Here is a 14,624-nt window from a genome sequence, read left to right as displayed (position 1 = left end):
GGCCTCCCAAAGTGCTGGGATTGCAGGCATGAGCCACTGTGCCTGGCCTCTGTTACTTTTAGTTTTTTTAGATGGAGTCTAACTCTGTCGCCAGGCTGGAGTGCAGTGGTGCGATCTCAGCTCACTGCAACCTCCACCTTCCGGGTTCAAGCGATTCTCCTGCCTGAGCCTCCCGAGTAGCTGGGACTACAGGCACGCAGTACCACACCCAGCTAATTTTTTATTTTTAGTAGAGACGGGGTTTCACCATGTTGGCCAGGATGGTCTTGATCTCTTGACCTTGTGATCCACCCGCCTCAGTCTTCCAAAGTGCTGGGATGATAGGCGTGAGCCACTGCGCCCGGCTTCCATTACTTTTTATAACCAAGTAATATTATGTCGTATGTATGTAGCACATTTTGTTTATCCGTTAATTTGTTGTTGGACACTTGGGTGTTCCTACATTTTGCCTATTGTAAATAATGCTAGTGTGAACACTGGTGTGAAAATATGTTTTCGAATCCCTACTTCAAGTACTTTTAGCTATATACCTAGGAGTGAAATAGCTGAATCATACGGTAATTTAACTGTTTTGTCCAGGCATGGTGGCTCACGCCTGTAATGCCAGCACTTTGGGAGGCTGAGCTGGGCGGATCCGTCCATTTGTTTAGGTGTTCTTTAACTTCTTTCAGTGAATCTTTTGTAGTTTTTTGCAACCCCCACCTCCCGGGTTCAAGTGATTCTCCTGCCTCAGCCTCCTTAGTAGCTGGGATTACAGGCATGCACCACCACGCCCAGCTAATTTTTTTATTTTTAGTAGAGACAGGGCTTCACCACGTTGGACAGGCTGCTCTTGAACTCCTGACCTCAAGTGATCCGCCTGCCTTGGCCTCCCAAAGTGCTGGGATTACAGGCGTGAGCTGTCTTGCCCAGCCAGTATCTATTGAATAGACTCCTTTTCCAATTGAATGATGTATTAGCTTGGGCTGCCATAAGAACATACTACGGACTAGGTGGCTTGGCATAAGCAACAGAAATTTATTTCTCACAATTCCGGAGGCTGGGAAGGTAAGGTGCCAGCCGATTCAGTTCCCAGTGAGGGTTCGCTTCCTGGCTTGCAGATGGCTGCCTTCTTGCTGTGTTCTTACATGGTGGAGAGAGACAGATCTCTGGTGTCTCTTCCTCTTTTAGAGGCACCAGCCCTATTGCATTAGGGCCCCACCCTATGGCCTCATTTAACCTGTGTCACCTTCTCACAGCCACTGTCTCCCACACTGGGGGTTGGGGCTTCAACATACAAAATTTGGTGGGACCCAAACGACAAAGGGTCTAAGCATCCTTGCTGAAAGTCAACTGATAATATATGCAAGGCTTTGTTTCTGGGCTCTCTATTGTATTACATTTTATTTCCTGTCATGCCAGTATCACATTGTTTTTTATTGTAGCTTTGTATTAAGTTTTGAAATCAGGAAGTGTGAGTCCTCCAACTTTGTTCTTTTTCAAGATTGTTTTGGCTATTTGGGGTCACTTGCCATTCCATATGAAGTTCAGGATAGTCCTTTTTTTCTTTTTTTCTTTGAAGCAGGATCTCACTCTGTCACCCAGGCTGGAGTGCCATGGCACAAACTCAGCTCACTGCAGCTTCGACCTCATGGGCTCAAGCGACCCTTCCATCTCAGCTTCCTGAGTAGCTGGGACTACAGGTTCGTGGCACCACGCCCAGTTAAGGGTTTTTCTATATGTACAAAAAACACCATTAAGATTTTGATAGGTATTGAATCTGTAGATAACTTTGGGTAGTATTGTCACCTTAACAATATGAAGTCTTCCCATCCATGAACAGCAAGTGTATTTCCATTTATTTATGTGTTCTTTAACTTCTTTCAGTGATCTTTTGTAGTTTTTCAGTTTATGAGTCTTTTGCCTCTTGATTATATTTATTCCTGAATATTTTATTCATTTTAATGCTCTTGTGAATGGAATTGTTTCCCTTAATTTCTTTCTTTCTTTCTTTCTTTCTTTTTTTTTTTTTTTTTGGATATGGAGTCTTGCTCTGTCACCCAGGCTGGACTACAGTGGTGCGATCTTGGCTCACTGCAACCTCCTCCTCCCGGGTTCAAGTGACTCTCCTACCTCAGCCTCCTGGGTAGCTGGGATTACAGGCCTACGCCACCATGCCCAGCTAATTTTTTTTTTTTTTTTGGTACTTTTAGCAGAGACGGGTTTCACATGTTGGCCAGGCTGGTCTCGAACTCCTGACCTCGAGTGATCCACCCACCTTGGCTTCTCAAAGTGCTGGGATTAAAGGCATGAGCCACCACACCCGTCTTTTTTTTTTTTTTTTTTTTTGAGACAGAGTCTCGCCCTGTCGCCCAGGCTGGAGTACAGTGGTGTGATCTCAGCTCACTGCAACCTCCGCCTACCGGGTTCAAACGATTCTCCTGCCTCAGCTTCGTGAGTAGCTGAGACTTCAAACACATGCCACCAAACCTGGCTAATTTTTGTATTTTTAGTAGAGGCGGGGTTTTGCCATGTTGGCCAGGCTGGTCTCGAACTCCTGACCTCAAGTGATGCACCCGCCTTGGCCTCCCAAAATGCTGGGATTATAGGTGTGAGCCATCGTGCCCAGCCTGGCTCTGTTTTTTTTTTTTTTTTTTTTTTTGAGACGGAGTCTTGCTCTGTCGCCCAGGCTGGAGAGCAGAGGCGCGATCTCGGCTCACTGCAAGCTCTGCCTCCTGGGTTCATGCCATTCTTCTGCCTCAGCCTCCCGAGTAGCTGGGACTACAGGCGCCTGCCACCACGCCCAGCTAATTTTTTGTATTTTTAGTAGAGACGAGGTTTCACCGTGTTAGCTGGAATGGTCTCCTGACTTTGTGATCCGCCTGCCTCTGCCTCCCAAAGTGCTGGGATTACAGGCGTGAGCCACCGCGCGCAGCCGCCTGGCTCTGTTTTTTCAGGTTATGTCTCCTAATGTATCCCACTACTGCCTCCTCCAGAACTGCTTCCCTCTTCTCACCTGGGAAGGAGCATCTCTGTGTGTCTGTATTTTCAGTCCCTGGAACATCTGGCAGCCATGGCTCTTCCTCTCTCTCCAGCTAGAAGATCAGGTCAGGTTTGAGGCCTGAAAATTCTGCTGGCAGAGATGGAAACACAACACGTGCATTTCTGCTGAGAACCAAAGCCTACGGTCTGCAGAGAGCAGGCAGAGAGATTCAGCTGGACCAGGTAGGAAGGCCCAGGATGGTGGAATAGGTAGGGGCTCTAAAGATAAAACTATGTCCGGGGTGGGGAGGGATGAGGGTGAGTCATGGCTGAGGGAGAAAGAAGGGGAAAGGGAGAAAAGAGTGCAAGGTGATTAAGAGGTTCAGACTCTGGCTGGGTGCAGTGCTCATGCCTGTAAGGTTCAGGCTCTGGCTGGGAGTAGGGGCTTATGCCTGTAAGGTTCAGACTCTTGCTGGGAGTAGGGGCTTATGCCTATAAGGTTCAGACTCTGGCTGGGTGCAGTGCTCATGCCTGTAAGGTTCAGACTCTGGCTGGGTGCACTGCTCATGCCTGTAAGGTTCAGACTCTGGCTGGGTGCACTGCTCATGCCTGTAAGGTTCAGACTCTGGCTGGGTGCAATGACTCATGCCTGTAAGGTTCAGACTCTGGCTGGGTGAAGTGCTCATGCCTGTAAGGTTCAGACTCTGGCTGGGTGCACTGCTCATGCCTGTAAGGTTCAGACTCTGGCTGGGTGCAATGACTCATGCCTGTAAGGTTCAGACTCTGGCTGGGTGAAGTGCTCATGCCTGTAAGGTTCAGACTCTGGCTGGGAGTAGGGGCTCATGCCTGTAAGGTTCAGACTCTGGCTGAGTGCAGTGCTCATGCCTGTAAGGTTCAGACTCTGGCTGGGTACAATGACTCATGCCTGTAAGGTTCAGACTCTGGCTGGGTGCAGTGCTCATGCCTGTAAGGTTCAGACTCTGGCTGGGTGCAGTGCTCATGCCTGTAAGGTTCAGACTCTGGCTGGGAGTAGGGGCTCATGCCTGTAAGGTTCAGACTCTGGCTGGGTACAATGACTCATGCCTGTAAGGTTCAGACTCTGGCTGGGAGTAGGGGCTTATGCCTGTAAGGTTCAGACTCTGGCTGGGTGCAGTGCTCATGCCTGTAAGGTTCAGACTCTGGCTGGGTGCAGTGACTCCTGCCTGTAAGGTTCAGACTCTGGCTGGGTGCAGTGACTCATGCCTGTAAGGTTCAGACTCTGGCTGGGAGTAGGGGCTTATGCCTGTAAGGTTCAGATTCTGGCTGGGTGCAGTGCTCATGCCTGTAAGGTTCAGACTCTGGCTGGGTGCAGTGACTCATGCCTGTAAGGTTCAGACTCTGGCTGGGTACAATGACTCATGCCTGTACGGTTCAGACTCTGGCTGAGTACAATGACTCATGCCTATAATCCCAGCACTTTGGAGGCTGAGGCAGGAGGATCACTTGAGCCCAGGAGTTCGAGACCAGCCTGGGCAACAGAGTGAGACCCTGTCTCTACAAAGAACCAAAAAAATTACCCAGGCGTGGTGGCTCGTGCCTGTAGTCCCAGCTACATGGGAAGCAGAGGTGGGAGGGTCACTTGAGCCTGGGAGGTTGAGGCTGCAGTGAGCCATGATTGTGCCACTGCACTCCAGCCTGGGCAACAGAGTGAAATCCTGTCTCAAAAGAAAAAAGAAAAGAAAAGAAAAAAAAATTCAGATTCATCAGGACTATACCAAATCATGCTGGGGAGACAGCAAGTCCTGCCAAGCATGAGTGGAATTCCATGGTGCAACATCTATAGGGAACTTGGAGAGAGGGGCTACCTCAGGCCCAGCCTCTTTCCTCCCTGTGGAGCTCAGGTCTGTCACGTGGAGAAAGGGTCTAGTTTCTAGGTCTAGAAAGGATGTGGAATTGCCCTCATTCTCAACAAGTGAAGTACTCAGAGAGCCTGGAGAGGGGCAGGGGAGAGGGCAGAGCCTACCCAGCCAGGTCAAGTTCCCACAGTTCTCCAGCCGCCTTTTGGTGAAGAGCTAGATGCATCCATTTCCTCCTTGTGAAATATGCAGCCACGTCATCAAATGTCACTGACCCCTGAAATAATACGTGGGTGTGGGGAAAAAGGCACTGCTAGAGATCAATTTAAGACAAGGCAAAAATAGTTTTGTTTTTTTTTAAGAGATGGAGTCTCGCTCTTTCGCCCAGGCTGGACTGCAGTGGCGCTATCTCGGCTCACTGCAAGCTCCGCCTCCCGGGTTCATGCCATTCTCCTGCCTCAGTCTCCTGAGTAGCTGGGATTACAGGCGCCCGCCACCGTGCCCGGCTAATTTTTTTGTATTTTTAGTAGAGACGGGGTTTCACCGCGTTAGCCAACATGGTCTCAATCTCCTGACCTCGTGATCCGCCCGCCTCGGCCTCCCAAAGTGCTGGGATGGGTCCACCGGCTGCCGCGCCCGGCCAAAAATACTTTTAAGTTACAGAAAAAAATAGATGGAATTCACTACCCTCAGTAATGTAACTGGGATCAAGCAGAGTGATAAAAATTACTGGAGGCAAATAAATACAGTTATGATTTCTTTTTTTTTTTGAGACGGAGTCTTGCTCTATTGCTAGGCTGGAGTGCAGTGGTGCGATCTTGGCTCACTGCAACCCCCGCCTCCCGGGTTCAAGCGATTCCCCTGCCTCAGCCTCCCCAAGTAGCTGGGATTACAGGTGCACGCCAGCACTCCCGGCTAATTATTTGTGTTTTACTAGAGATGGGGTTTCACCATGTTGGCCAGGATGGTCTCGATCTCCTGACCTTGTGATTCACCTGCCTCGGCTTCCCAAAGTGCTGGGATTACAGGCGTGAGCCACCGCGCCTGGCCACAGTATGGTTTTATTGCTTATCTTCTGTACTCACCTTTTGCTTCTCCAAGCCCCAGCTGGAAGAAACAAATCTGGTGTTCCCTGACTCTGCACCACCCAAGTCAGGGTGGTTCAGTCCCCCAGCTTCGACAGAAGAACCACATCACTCAGGCCCACAATTCCCCAAACCACAGGAAGAGCAACCAGGTTTTAGGCCCTGGTGATGGGACAGGTGGCCATGAGGCCTCCTGTGTAAACCTGGAACTTGGGAAGAGGCCTTGGAGCAACCGGCTACACCCAGAAGCTCCCACCCCAGCTCACGGGTGAAGGGCCAGTGGAACAGGAGAAGCTCCCACCCCAGCTCACGGGGGAAGGGCCAGTGGAACAGGGATGTGTTCTTCCTACAGAAAGCCTTGTGACTTCCTGCCCTTTCAGTAAAGGCTTTTGTGCATTCTACTGGAATGTCAGGTATCAAACCACTACCGCCACCGCATAGCCCTTGCCCGCCTGCAGTCGGCCTTCTGGTCCGTCTGACGCAGTCGAACTCTGCAGCGTTCACCTTGCTTCCTATCTTGTTTTGCTTCCAACTTTCCATTACAAAAAACTTCCAACATAGAGAATATTAACAACTACTTCCGACCGGGCGCGGTGGCTCACACCTGTAATCCCAGCACTTTCGGAGGCTAAGGAGGGTGGATCACGAGGTCAGGAGATCAAGACCAGCCTGGCCAAGATGGTGAAACCCCGTCTCTATGAAAGATACAAAACAGCTGGGCGTGGTGGCAAGCGCCTGTAATCCCAGCTGCTTGGGAGGCTGAGGCAGGAGAATCGCTTAAACCTGGGAGGCAGAGGTTGCAGTGAGCCGAGATTGTACCAGTGCACTCCAGCCTGGGTGACAGAGCGAGACTCCATCTCAAAAAAAAAAAAAAAACCACGCCTTCCATATCCACCTGAATTCAGCAGCTGCCGCGCTGTTGTCCTGTTCTCCGAAATGCTCTCTACATGTTGTATTTCTGGCTGAACCATTTGGAAGTGATTTGCAGCTGGTAACACATCTCCCCAAGTGTCGCAGCCCTCCTCTCAAGAATGAGACCATCACTGCACATAACCACACCTAAGAAAATTAACAGTAATTCTGTAATCTCATTTAATAGCCAGCCCATGTTCAAATTTTCCCAATGTCCCCAAAATGTCCAGTAAAGTATGTTGCCCAGTCTGGTCTCAAACTCCTGGGCTCAGCTCAAGCGATCCTCCTGCCTTGGCCTCCCAAAGTGCTGGAACTACAGATGTGAGCCACTATGCCCAGTCTCCACCTACACAGGAGAAACGGCGCCCTGTCTGCTTGTGGGCTGCCTCTTCCAGCTTTGGAACTACAGGCAGCATTATAGCCACAAGCCTTCAATACCCTATTATTTCTCAGGACCAGGCCCCTTTCTGAATAGGCCTGTGACAAGCCCCAAATTCCAGTGTCAAGAACTCCAGTAGACGGGGGAGACCCTTCTTCCTGAGCCTGCAAGTTGCAACAGAGGATGAGTGGTCCTTGTCCCTGCAGCTTTGTCCCGGGTGGCCCCTCCCCCGCTCTCATTCAGGTCATTCCATGTTCTCATTGCTGGGACATCCCTTGCGTGCGTCCCCTCATGAACCCACAAAGGGAACTCTCTGGATGTGTACACGTGGGATTCCGGTTCGCAGGGAAGTTACGTATTTTTCTGCCAAAATAGTTACTCCGCTTCCCATTTCCGCCAGCTCTGAAGACTCGCACCAGTTCCCCACATCTGTGCATTTGTTACTGTCGGGTGTTTCTTGGCCATGTGCTTTTCAACTTTGTCCCTGTTTTTGCCCATTTTTTTCTATTGGAATTTTTTTTTTTAGACAGACTCTCACTCTGTAGCTGGAGTGCAGTGGTGTGATCTCGGCTCACTGCAAGCTCTGCCTCCCAGGTCCCGGTTCAAGCAATTCTCCTGCCTCAGCCTCCCGAGTAGCTGGGATTACACGCACCCACCACCACGTCCAGCTAATTTTTTTGTATTTTTAGCAGAGACGGGGTTTCACCATGTTGGCCAGGCTGGCCTTGAACTCTTGACCTCGTGATCCGCCTGCTTCGGCCTCCCAAAGTGCTGGGATTACAGGCGTGGGCCACCACACCCGGTCCGGAAAATTTTTTATTTGTCTTATTTCATTGATTTGGGTGAGGCCTGTGTCTATTTTGCAAACATTTCCCCACTTGTTGCTTCTTTTCTGGTGTGGTGGCCATGACGGCCACCTGGGCCTAGCCCACACAGGGTCACCTCTGGCTCCAATGTTGACTTTTCTCACTCTCGCTGTCTGCGTCCCATCTGCCACCCAAACTGGGGGTTCCTGTTCCTTCTCCTCCTTACCCCCACAGGAGTCGTGCTAACACAGGTCCCTAACATTTCCCATCAGGGGCATCAACACCGCCATAGAGCAGCCAGAGAACGTAAAAAAAACAACACAGCCACTGTGAGAACCCATTAGCAGTGTCCTGTGATCCTGGAATGAAGTGCAGGCTAACAGGGTCCCCCCTAGTTTGGCCCCATCTCTAGTCTCACCTGTACCTCTTCCTCCCCAACTTAGCCTCAGGCTTTTCCTGACTTGCCACACTGTCCTGTGCCATGGGGCCTCTGCCACACAGTTCCATGGCTTAAGCCACTCTCTACCTGGCTACAGCCTCAGAATGGCCTCCCTGACCCCACAGATCAGGCTGGCTTATGTCGTGTGCTCCTGGGGCACTCGGCTCCCCTTTTTCTGCTGTGTCTTGTTTAGTATTCGTATGTCTCCAGCCCAGCAGACTGTGCACTCCACGAGGAGAAAGCCCCAGTTCCTGCACACAGCCTGGCGCACAGGTGGTACCCAATACATACTTGCTGAATGGACAAGGAGGCTCTTTTAAGCCCTAGAGGCATTTGCTAGGTAGAGAAGCTCCAGGCAGAGTAGAAGGCACTCACTGGAAGGATGGACAGCTCACCTGACGTCCAGTCTTTGAGGGCACAGCTGAGATTCCCAGCTTCTGGGCTGTGGCAATGGGCAGACATCCAGAACAGTAGGGGCTAGGGGACAGACGGACCAAGAGAGTCCAGCGGGGACTGTGGGGGGCAGACGGACCAAGAGAGTCCAGCGGGGACTGTGGGGGGCAGATGGACCAAGAGAGTCCAGCGGGGACTGTGGGGGACGGACCAAGAGAGTCCAGCGGGGACTGTGGGGGGCGGACGGACCAAGAGAGTCCAGCGGGGACTGTGGGGGGCGGACGGACGAAGAGAGTCCAGCTGTTACCTGTGGCTCCTCCACTGACCAGGTCTCTTCTCTTCCCCTGTCCTCCCGGGCTTGCTTGGAACAAGTTCTTTTGGTGACATTAAGCTGCCTCTGGCACACATTCTAAAGTGGCTGTGGTCACTCCAGGCCAGCCTGAGGGCTGGAGGCCGCCCCAGGGTTTGTGTGCGTCTCAGTGCGGGATGTGAAGTGGTCACTCCGGGCCAGCCTGAGGGCTGGAGGCCGTACCAGGGTTTGTGTGCGTCTCAGTGCGGGATGTGAAGTGGTCACTCCGGGTCAGCCTGAGGGCTGGAGGCCGCACCAGGGTTTGTGTGCGTCTCAGTGCAGGATGTGAAGTGGGCCCCCCATGGGACTTCTTTTCCCAGCAACAATGGAGGCCTGGCTGATCCAGGCAGGATGCAGTGCGGCAGCTGGCCACACCCAGCCAGGACAAAGATGGGGATAGGAACAGCCCTAGTTGCCCTCACTGCTCATTACACGCAAATTGTAATTAATACATTAGCATAAGACATGCCCGCCAGCGTGTGACTGTTTACAGATGCCATAGCAGCACCACAGGTTCCCCTTATACGGCTTAAAAGAGAGGGTTCCTCCGTTCAGGGAACTGCCCACTCCTTTTGTAGAAAACTTGTGAATAACCCACTCCTTCTTTTTTGTTTTTGAAACAGAGTCTCACTCTGTCGCCCAAGCTGGAGTGCAGTGGCACAATCTCAGTTCACCTGCGCCTCCCAGGTTCAAGTGATTCTCCTGCCTCAGCCTCCTGAGTAGCTGGGATTACAGGCACGTGTCACTATGCCCGGCTAATTTCTGTATTTTTAGTAGAGACAGGTTTTGCCATGTTGGCCAGGATGGTCTTGATCTCCTGACCTCGTGATCCTCCTGCCTCGGCCTCCCAAAGTGCTGGGATAACAGGTGTGAGCCACCGCACCTGGCCAACCCACCCCTTCTTTAGCATATTGCATTAGTCCATTCTCACACTGCTATAAAGAAATATCCAAGACTGGGTAGTTTATAAAGAAAGAGGGTTAATTGGCCCATGGTTCTGCAGGCTGTACAGGAAGCATGGCAGAACCTGCTTCTTGGCAGAAGGCAAAGGGGGAGCCAGCACTTTACACGGTGGAAGCAGGAGGAAGAGAGAAGAGAGGGGGTAGAGGTGCCACACACCTTTAAATGACCAGCTCTCAAGAACTCACTCACTCTCAGAAGAGCATTAAGGGGGAAATCCACCATTGTCATCCAGTCCCCTCCCACCAGGCCCACCGCCAGCATTGGGGATTAAATTTCAGCATGAGATTTGGGTGGGGACACAGATCCAAAACATATCACATATAACTCAGGAGTAGCTATGAAGACTGCTAGCCAGCCGTCCACCAGTGCTGCCCTGCCTGTGGGGTAGCCCTGCTCTGTCTACAGAGCAGGCATTTTCCTATACTCTGTTGCTCTGATAAATGTGCTTTGCTTTCACTTTACTCTGTCAACTCACTCTTGAATTCCTTCCTGTGCAAAGCCAAGAACCCTCCCAGGCCGAGCCCTGATGGTGGGGTTCGCCTGCATCTGATGTGTGGACAAAACCATTTATGTTGAGAGTCTGCAGTTCTTAAAGACCAAGATTGGAGCCTAGTTGGGAGGAGGGCTTAGAGAAGCCTGAATTGGAGAGGAGACTCTTTGCCATCCCACAGCTCACCCTCCTCCAGGCATAAGGGACCGCCCTGGCATGGCCACAGCCTTGGTGACCTCCTTCTCCACATCCAGCCAGGGGAGAGTCTCAGAGAGCCCCAGCCTGCTCTCCGTGCTGCTGCCAGAATTGTTTTCCTACAACACTCTCAGGACCAGGGAAACACAGAAAGCTGTTTTAGGGGAGCATCTGGCTTCTGCTCCTCCAACTCATTCTCTGCAGAGCAGCAAGAGTGAAGTACCTGCGTGTGGAGAAGGAACCGGTAACAGGTAGTATTGGGGAATCTGCCCCGATATTCACGTAAGTTCTTTTCTATTTTTCCTAAGCATCGGCTGGCTTGAGAAATAAAGGGACAGAGTAAAAAAGAGAGAAATTTTAAAGCTGGGCGTCCAGAGGAGACATCACATGTCGGTAGGTTCCCTGATGCCCCACAAGCCACAAAAACCAGCAAGTTTTTATTAGGGATTTTCAAAAGGGGAGGGAGTGTGCGAATAAGTGTGGGTCACAGACATCAAGTACTTAACAGGGTAATAGAATATCACAAGGCAAGTGGAGGCAGGGCGAGATCACAGGACCACAGGACCGAGGCGAAATTAAAATTGCTAATGAAGTTTCGGGCACCATTGTCATTGATAACATCTTATCAGGAGACAGCGTTTTGAGAGCAACCAGTCTCACCAAAATTATTAGGTGGGAATTTCCTCTTCCTAATAAGCCTGGGAGCGCTATGGGAGACTGGAGTCTATCTCATCTCTGCAGTTTCGACCATAAGAGACAGGCGCACCTGGGGGGACTGTTTATAAGCCTATACCTCCAGGTGCGTATTCTCTTTCTCAGGGATGTTCCATGCTGAGAAAAAGAATTCAGCGATATTTCTCCCATTTGCTTTTGAAAGAAGAGAAATATGACTCTGTTCTGCCCGGCTCACTGGAGGTCAGAGCTTAAGGTTATCTCTTATTCCCTGAACAATTGCTGTTATCCTGTTCTTTTTTCAAGGTGCCCACATTTCATATTGCTCAAACACACATGCTCTACAATTTGTGCAGTTAATGCAATTATTACAGGGTCCTGAGGCGACATACATCTTCCTCAGCTGACAGGATTAAGAGATTAAAGTAAAGACAGGCATAGGAAATCGCAAGGGTACTGATTGGGGAAGTGATAAGTGTCCATGAAATGTTTACAATTTATGTTTAGAGATTGCAGTAAAGACAGGCATAAGAAATTATAAAAGTATTAATTTGGGGAACTAATAAATGTCCATAAAATCTTCACAATCCACGTTCTTCTGCCATGGCTTCCGCCGGTCCCTCCGTTTGGGGTCCCTGACTTCCCGCAACAAGGTAGCTCCCGCCCCTCCAGCTTCTTTGTCCTTCCAATCTTCCTGGGATCAGACGGAATGCACTGGGGTCTGCTCTTTGCCATGGCAGAGGCCTCTACATATGACTGGGAGGGTCAGTTTCTCATGACAGTTAGCAGGCGCTTGTGGCTGCAGATGCAAAATCATGGTCCCTAATCGGCTTTATTATTATTTTATTTATTTTATTTTTAGAAATGGGTTCTCACTATGTTGGCCAGGCTGCCTGAATTCTGGTGTTTTTGTACGTGGAAACTGGTGATGCAAGTACTGAATGTACCTCAGGCAGCTGGAGGAAGATACAGACGGATTGCCATCCGTCCCCCAGGTTAAGGATTCCCAATGAAGTCACTCTCTTCCCACCACTCCTCCTGAGAGGGTACGGTGGAAGGAAGGGTCTGAATTTTCCTCCCCAGAATTTCCCAAGACACAGGTATATTTGTCATGAATGTGAGGAGTGAGAACAAGGGCCTGCCCCGGCCCCCAGTCTGATTGCCCTCTCCGGCACTGCTTGCCGTGGGTGTTAGGCCCGCTTAAATTTTTGTTGTTGTTGTTGTGGTTGTTCTTCATGGAGTCTCGCTCTGTCGCCCAGGCTGGAGTGCAATGGTATGATCTCGGCTCACTGCAACCTCCACCTCCCAGGTTCAAGCGATTCTCCTGCCTCAGCCTCCCGAGTAGCTGGGATTACAAGCGTGCACCACCACACCCGGCTAATTTTTTGTAGTTTTAGTAGAGATGGAGTTTCACCACGTTGGCCAGGCTAGTCTCAAACTCCTGACCTCAGTTGATCCGCTCACCTCGGCCTCCCAAAGTGCTGGGATTATAGGCGCGAGCCACCGTGCCCAGCCAATGGGTAAATATGCTGAGTATGTATTTCTAAAGGTTTGAACACAGAAGAAAGGTCTGAGATGGAATTTTTTTAAGTGGGGTAATTTACATGTAAGTAGCAGTTGAAGAAATGAGACAAGGTAAGCTCTCTTAGAGGAAAATGTAGAATAAAGTAAGGAGAATGCGCAGGGCAGACACTGAGTAGAGGAGAAAGTAGCAAAGGAGATTGAGAGTGGTTGGCAGAAAATGAAGGAAGGGTGGTATTATTGATGATAAGGAAATCAAGTGTTCCAAGAAGGACAGACAGTTCATGGTGTCAAATATTGCTGAGAGGTCAAGTAAAGGAAAACTAAAAAATGCCCACTGGTGGCCAGGCACTATGGCTCACACCTGTAATCCCAGCACTTTGGGAGGCCAAAGCAGGTGGATTACTTGAGGTCAGGAGTTTGAGACCAGCCTGGGCAACAGAGCAAGACCCTGTCTCTACCAAAAAAATACAAAAAATTAGCCCGATGTGGTGGCACGCATCTGTGATCCCAACTACTCATAAGGCTGAGGTGGGAGGATTGCTTGAGCCCGGGGAGGTGAAGGTTGCAGTGAGCTGAGATTGTGCTACTGCACTCCAGCCTGGGTAACAGAGAGAGACCTTGTCTCAAAGGAAAAAAAAAGCCCACTGGTTTTAGAAACAGGGAGGTCAGTGGAGTAGGGAACAGCTCTGTTCTGGGCCCTGAGGACCTTGGACATCTTCACATAGCTGTGTGGCAAGGTCCATCACCGTGTGAACTGAGTTTGGCAGAATGCTTGGAGGTTCCTCCTGAAACTAAGGGAGACAAGCAACCTTGTAAGAAACGACAGTGACAGCAGCGCCCCTGGGCCCCTGGTTGGCTGCGTCTGGGATGCTCCCTTTGCCCCTCCTTGGGGTACAGCTGCGGACACACCACTGCCTGGCTGCAGTGTGGAGCTGGCGCCTCAGCAGCACCGTGGCCACCATCTGTGCTTTCTGTCATCTGGCCCCTATGGTTTGCTGTCATCTTGTGTGTCTAGGGACACAGGCTGCTGATCATGCTGTAGCTGTTTGAGTAAGAAATAAACAATCTAGGCTGGGCACAGTGGCACACACCTGTAATCCTAGCACTTTGGGAGGCCGACGCAGGTGGATCACTTGAGGTCAGGAGTTTGCCACCAGCCTGACTAATATGGTGAAACCCCGTCTCTACGAAATACAAAAAAATTAGCTGGACATGGTCCTGCATGCCTGTAATCCGAGCTACTTGTGAAGCTGAGACAGGAGAATCACTTGTACCTGGGAGGTGGAGGTTGCAGTGAGCCAAGATCTCACCATTGCGCTCCAGCGTGGGCAACAAGAGTAAAACTCCACCTCAAAAAAAAGAAAGAAAGAAACAATCTCTATCTTTTGTGCTCATTGCTGATCAAATCCATGTAAATATGGCAAACCAGCCTAGCATCTGTGGCAGTTGACGCCGGTAACCCTGTCAGCTGCTGGATTGCTGCCTAGGGACTGCTTGGATGCTTGGCAGTTGGTAGCCCTGTAAATAGGAAATATCCATTAGGAGAGCCTGCAGCCACCAGTCACAGAGTGATTACACGCCCCCTGTAGGAGATGTGAAAAAGAAAAAGAGGAAATCAAAT

At 50.5% G+C, this 14,624-nt stretch overlaps 2 long non-coding RNA genes across 6 annotated transcripts in view, besides 4 other annotated features; one reads left to right on the top strand and one right to left on the bottom strand.

Annotated features, from left to right (window-relative positions):
• The first annotated feature begins 26 nt into the window (after window positions 1-26).
• On the top strand, window positions 27-6,282 carry LOC105375805 (uncharacterized). 4 transcript variants are annotated; one of them, XR_001746148.2, is made up of 3 exons: window positions 27-1,682; window positions 3,075-3,231; window positions 5,898-6,282. It is a non-coding gene; the product is annotated as an uncharacterized LOC105375805 (long non-coding RNA). The 4 variants fall into 4 exon arrangements; XR_007061154.1 differs by having other exon boundaries at window positions 1,431-1,682; window positions 3,075-3,204; XR_001746147.2 differs by having other exon boundaries at window positions 1,642-1,682; window positions 3,032-3,231.
• Window positions 3,254-3,548: a silencer, noted in NCBI's record as "tiled region #10254; K562 Repressive DNase unmatched - State 5:Enh". NCBI's record gives its function as "represses a minimal TATA promoter and a strong SV40 promoter by Sharpr-MPRA in K562 cells {active_cell/tissue: K562}" and the evidence as "EXISTENCE:reporter gene assay evidence [ECO:0000049][PMID:27701403]".
• Window positions 4,934-5,228: an enhancer, noted in NCBI's record as "tiled region #4846; K562 Activating DNase matched - State 7:EnhWF". NCBI's record gives its function as "activates a minimal TATA promoter and a strong SV40 promoter by Sharpr-MPRA in K562 cells {active_cell/tissue: K562}" and the evidence as "EXISTENCE:reporter gene assay evidence [ECO:0000049][PMID:27701403]".
• Window positions 6,085-6,688: an enhancer, noted in NCBI's record as "H3K27ac-H3K4me1 hESC enhancer chr8:145990589-145991192 (GRCh37/hg19 assembly coordinates)". NCBI's record gives its function as "activates a minimal SCP1, AML or CMV promoter by ChIP-STARR-seq in primed H9 embryonic stem cells {active_cell/tissue: H9 hESC(primed)}" and the evidence as "EXISTENCE:reporter gene assay evidence [ECO:0000049][PMID:30033119]".
• LOC107986986 (uncharacterized) overlaps window positions 6,385-14,624 on the bottom strand; it is a 29,711-nt gene continuing 21,471 nt past the window's right edge. For both annotated transcript variants that reach the window (XR_001746149.3, XR_001746150.3), the window contains exon 3: window positions 6,385-14,586. This is a non-coding gene — a long non-coding RNA (uncharacterized LOC107986986). The remainder of the gene's footprint in view (window positions 14,587-14,624) is intronic.
• Window positions 8,925-9,872: an enhancer, noted in NCBI's record as "H3K27ac-H3K4me1 hESC enhancer chr8:145987405-145988352 (GRCh37/hg19 assembly coordinates)". NCBI's record gives its function as "activates a minimal SCP1, AML or CMV promoter by ChIP-STARR-seq in naive H9 embryonic stem cells {active_cell/tissue: H9 hESC(naive)}" and the evidence as "EXISTENCE:reporter gene assay evidence [ECO:0000049][PMID:30033119]".

The sequence above is a fragment of the Homo sapiens genome, chromosome 8 (assembly GCF_000001405.40).
Source record: "Homo sapiens chromosome 8, GRCh38.p14 Primary Assembly".
In the NCBI taxonomy this organism is placed as follows: Eukaryota; Metazoa; Chordata; class Mammalia; order Primates; family Hominidae; genus Homo; species Homo sapiens.
This window is presented reverse-complemented; position numbering and strand designations above follow the sequence as displayed.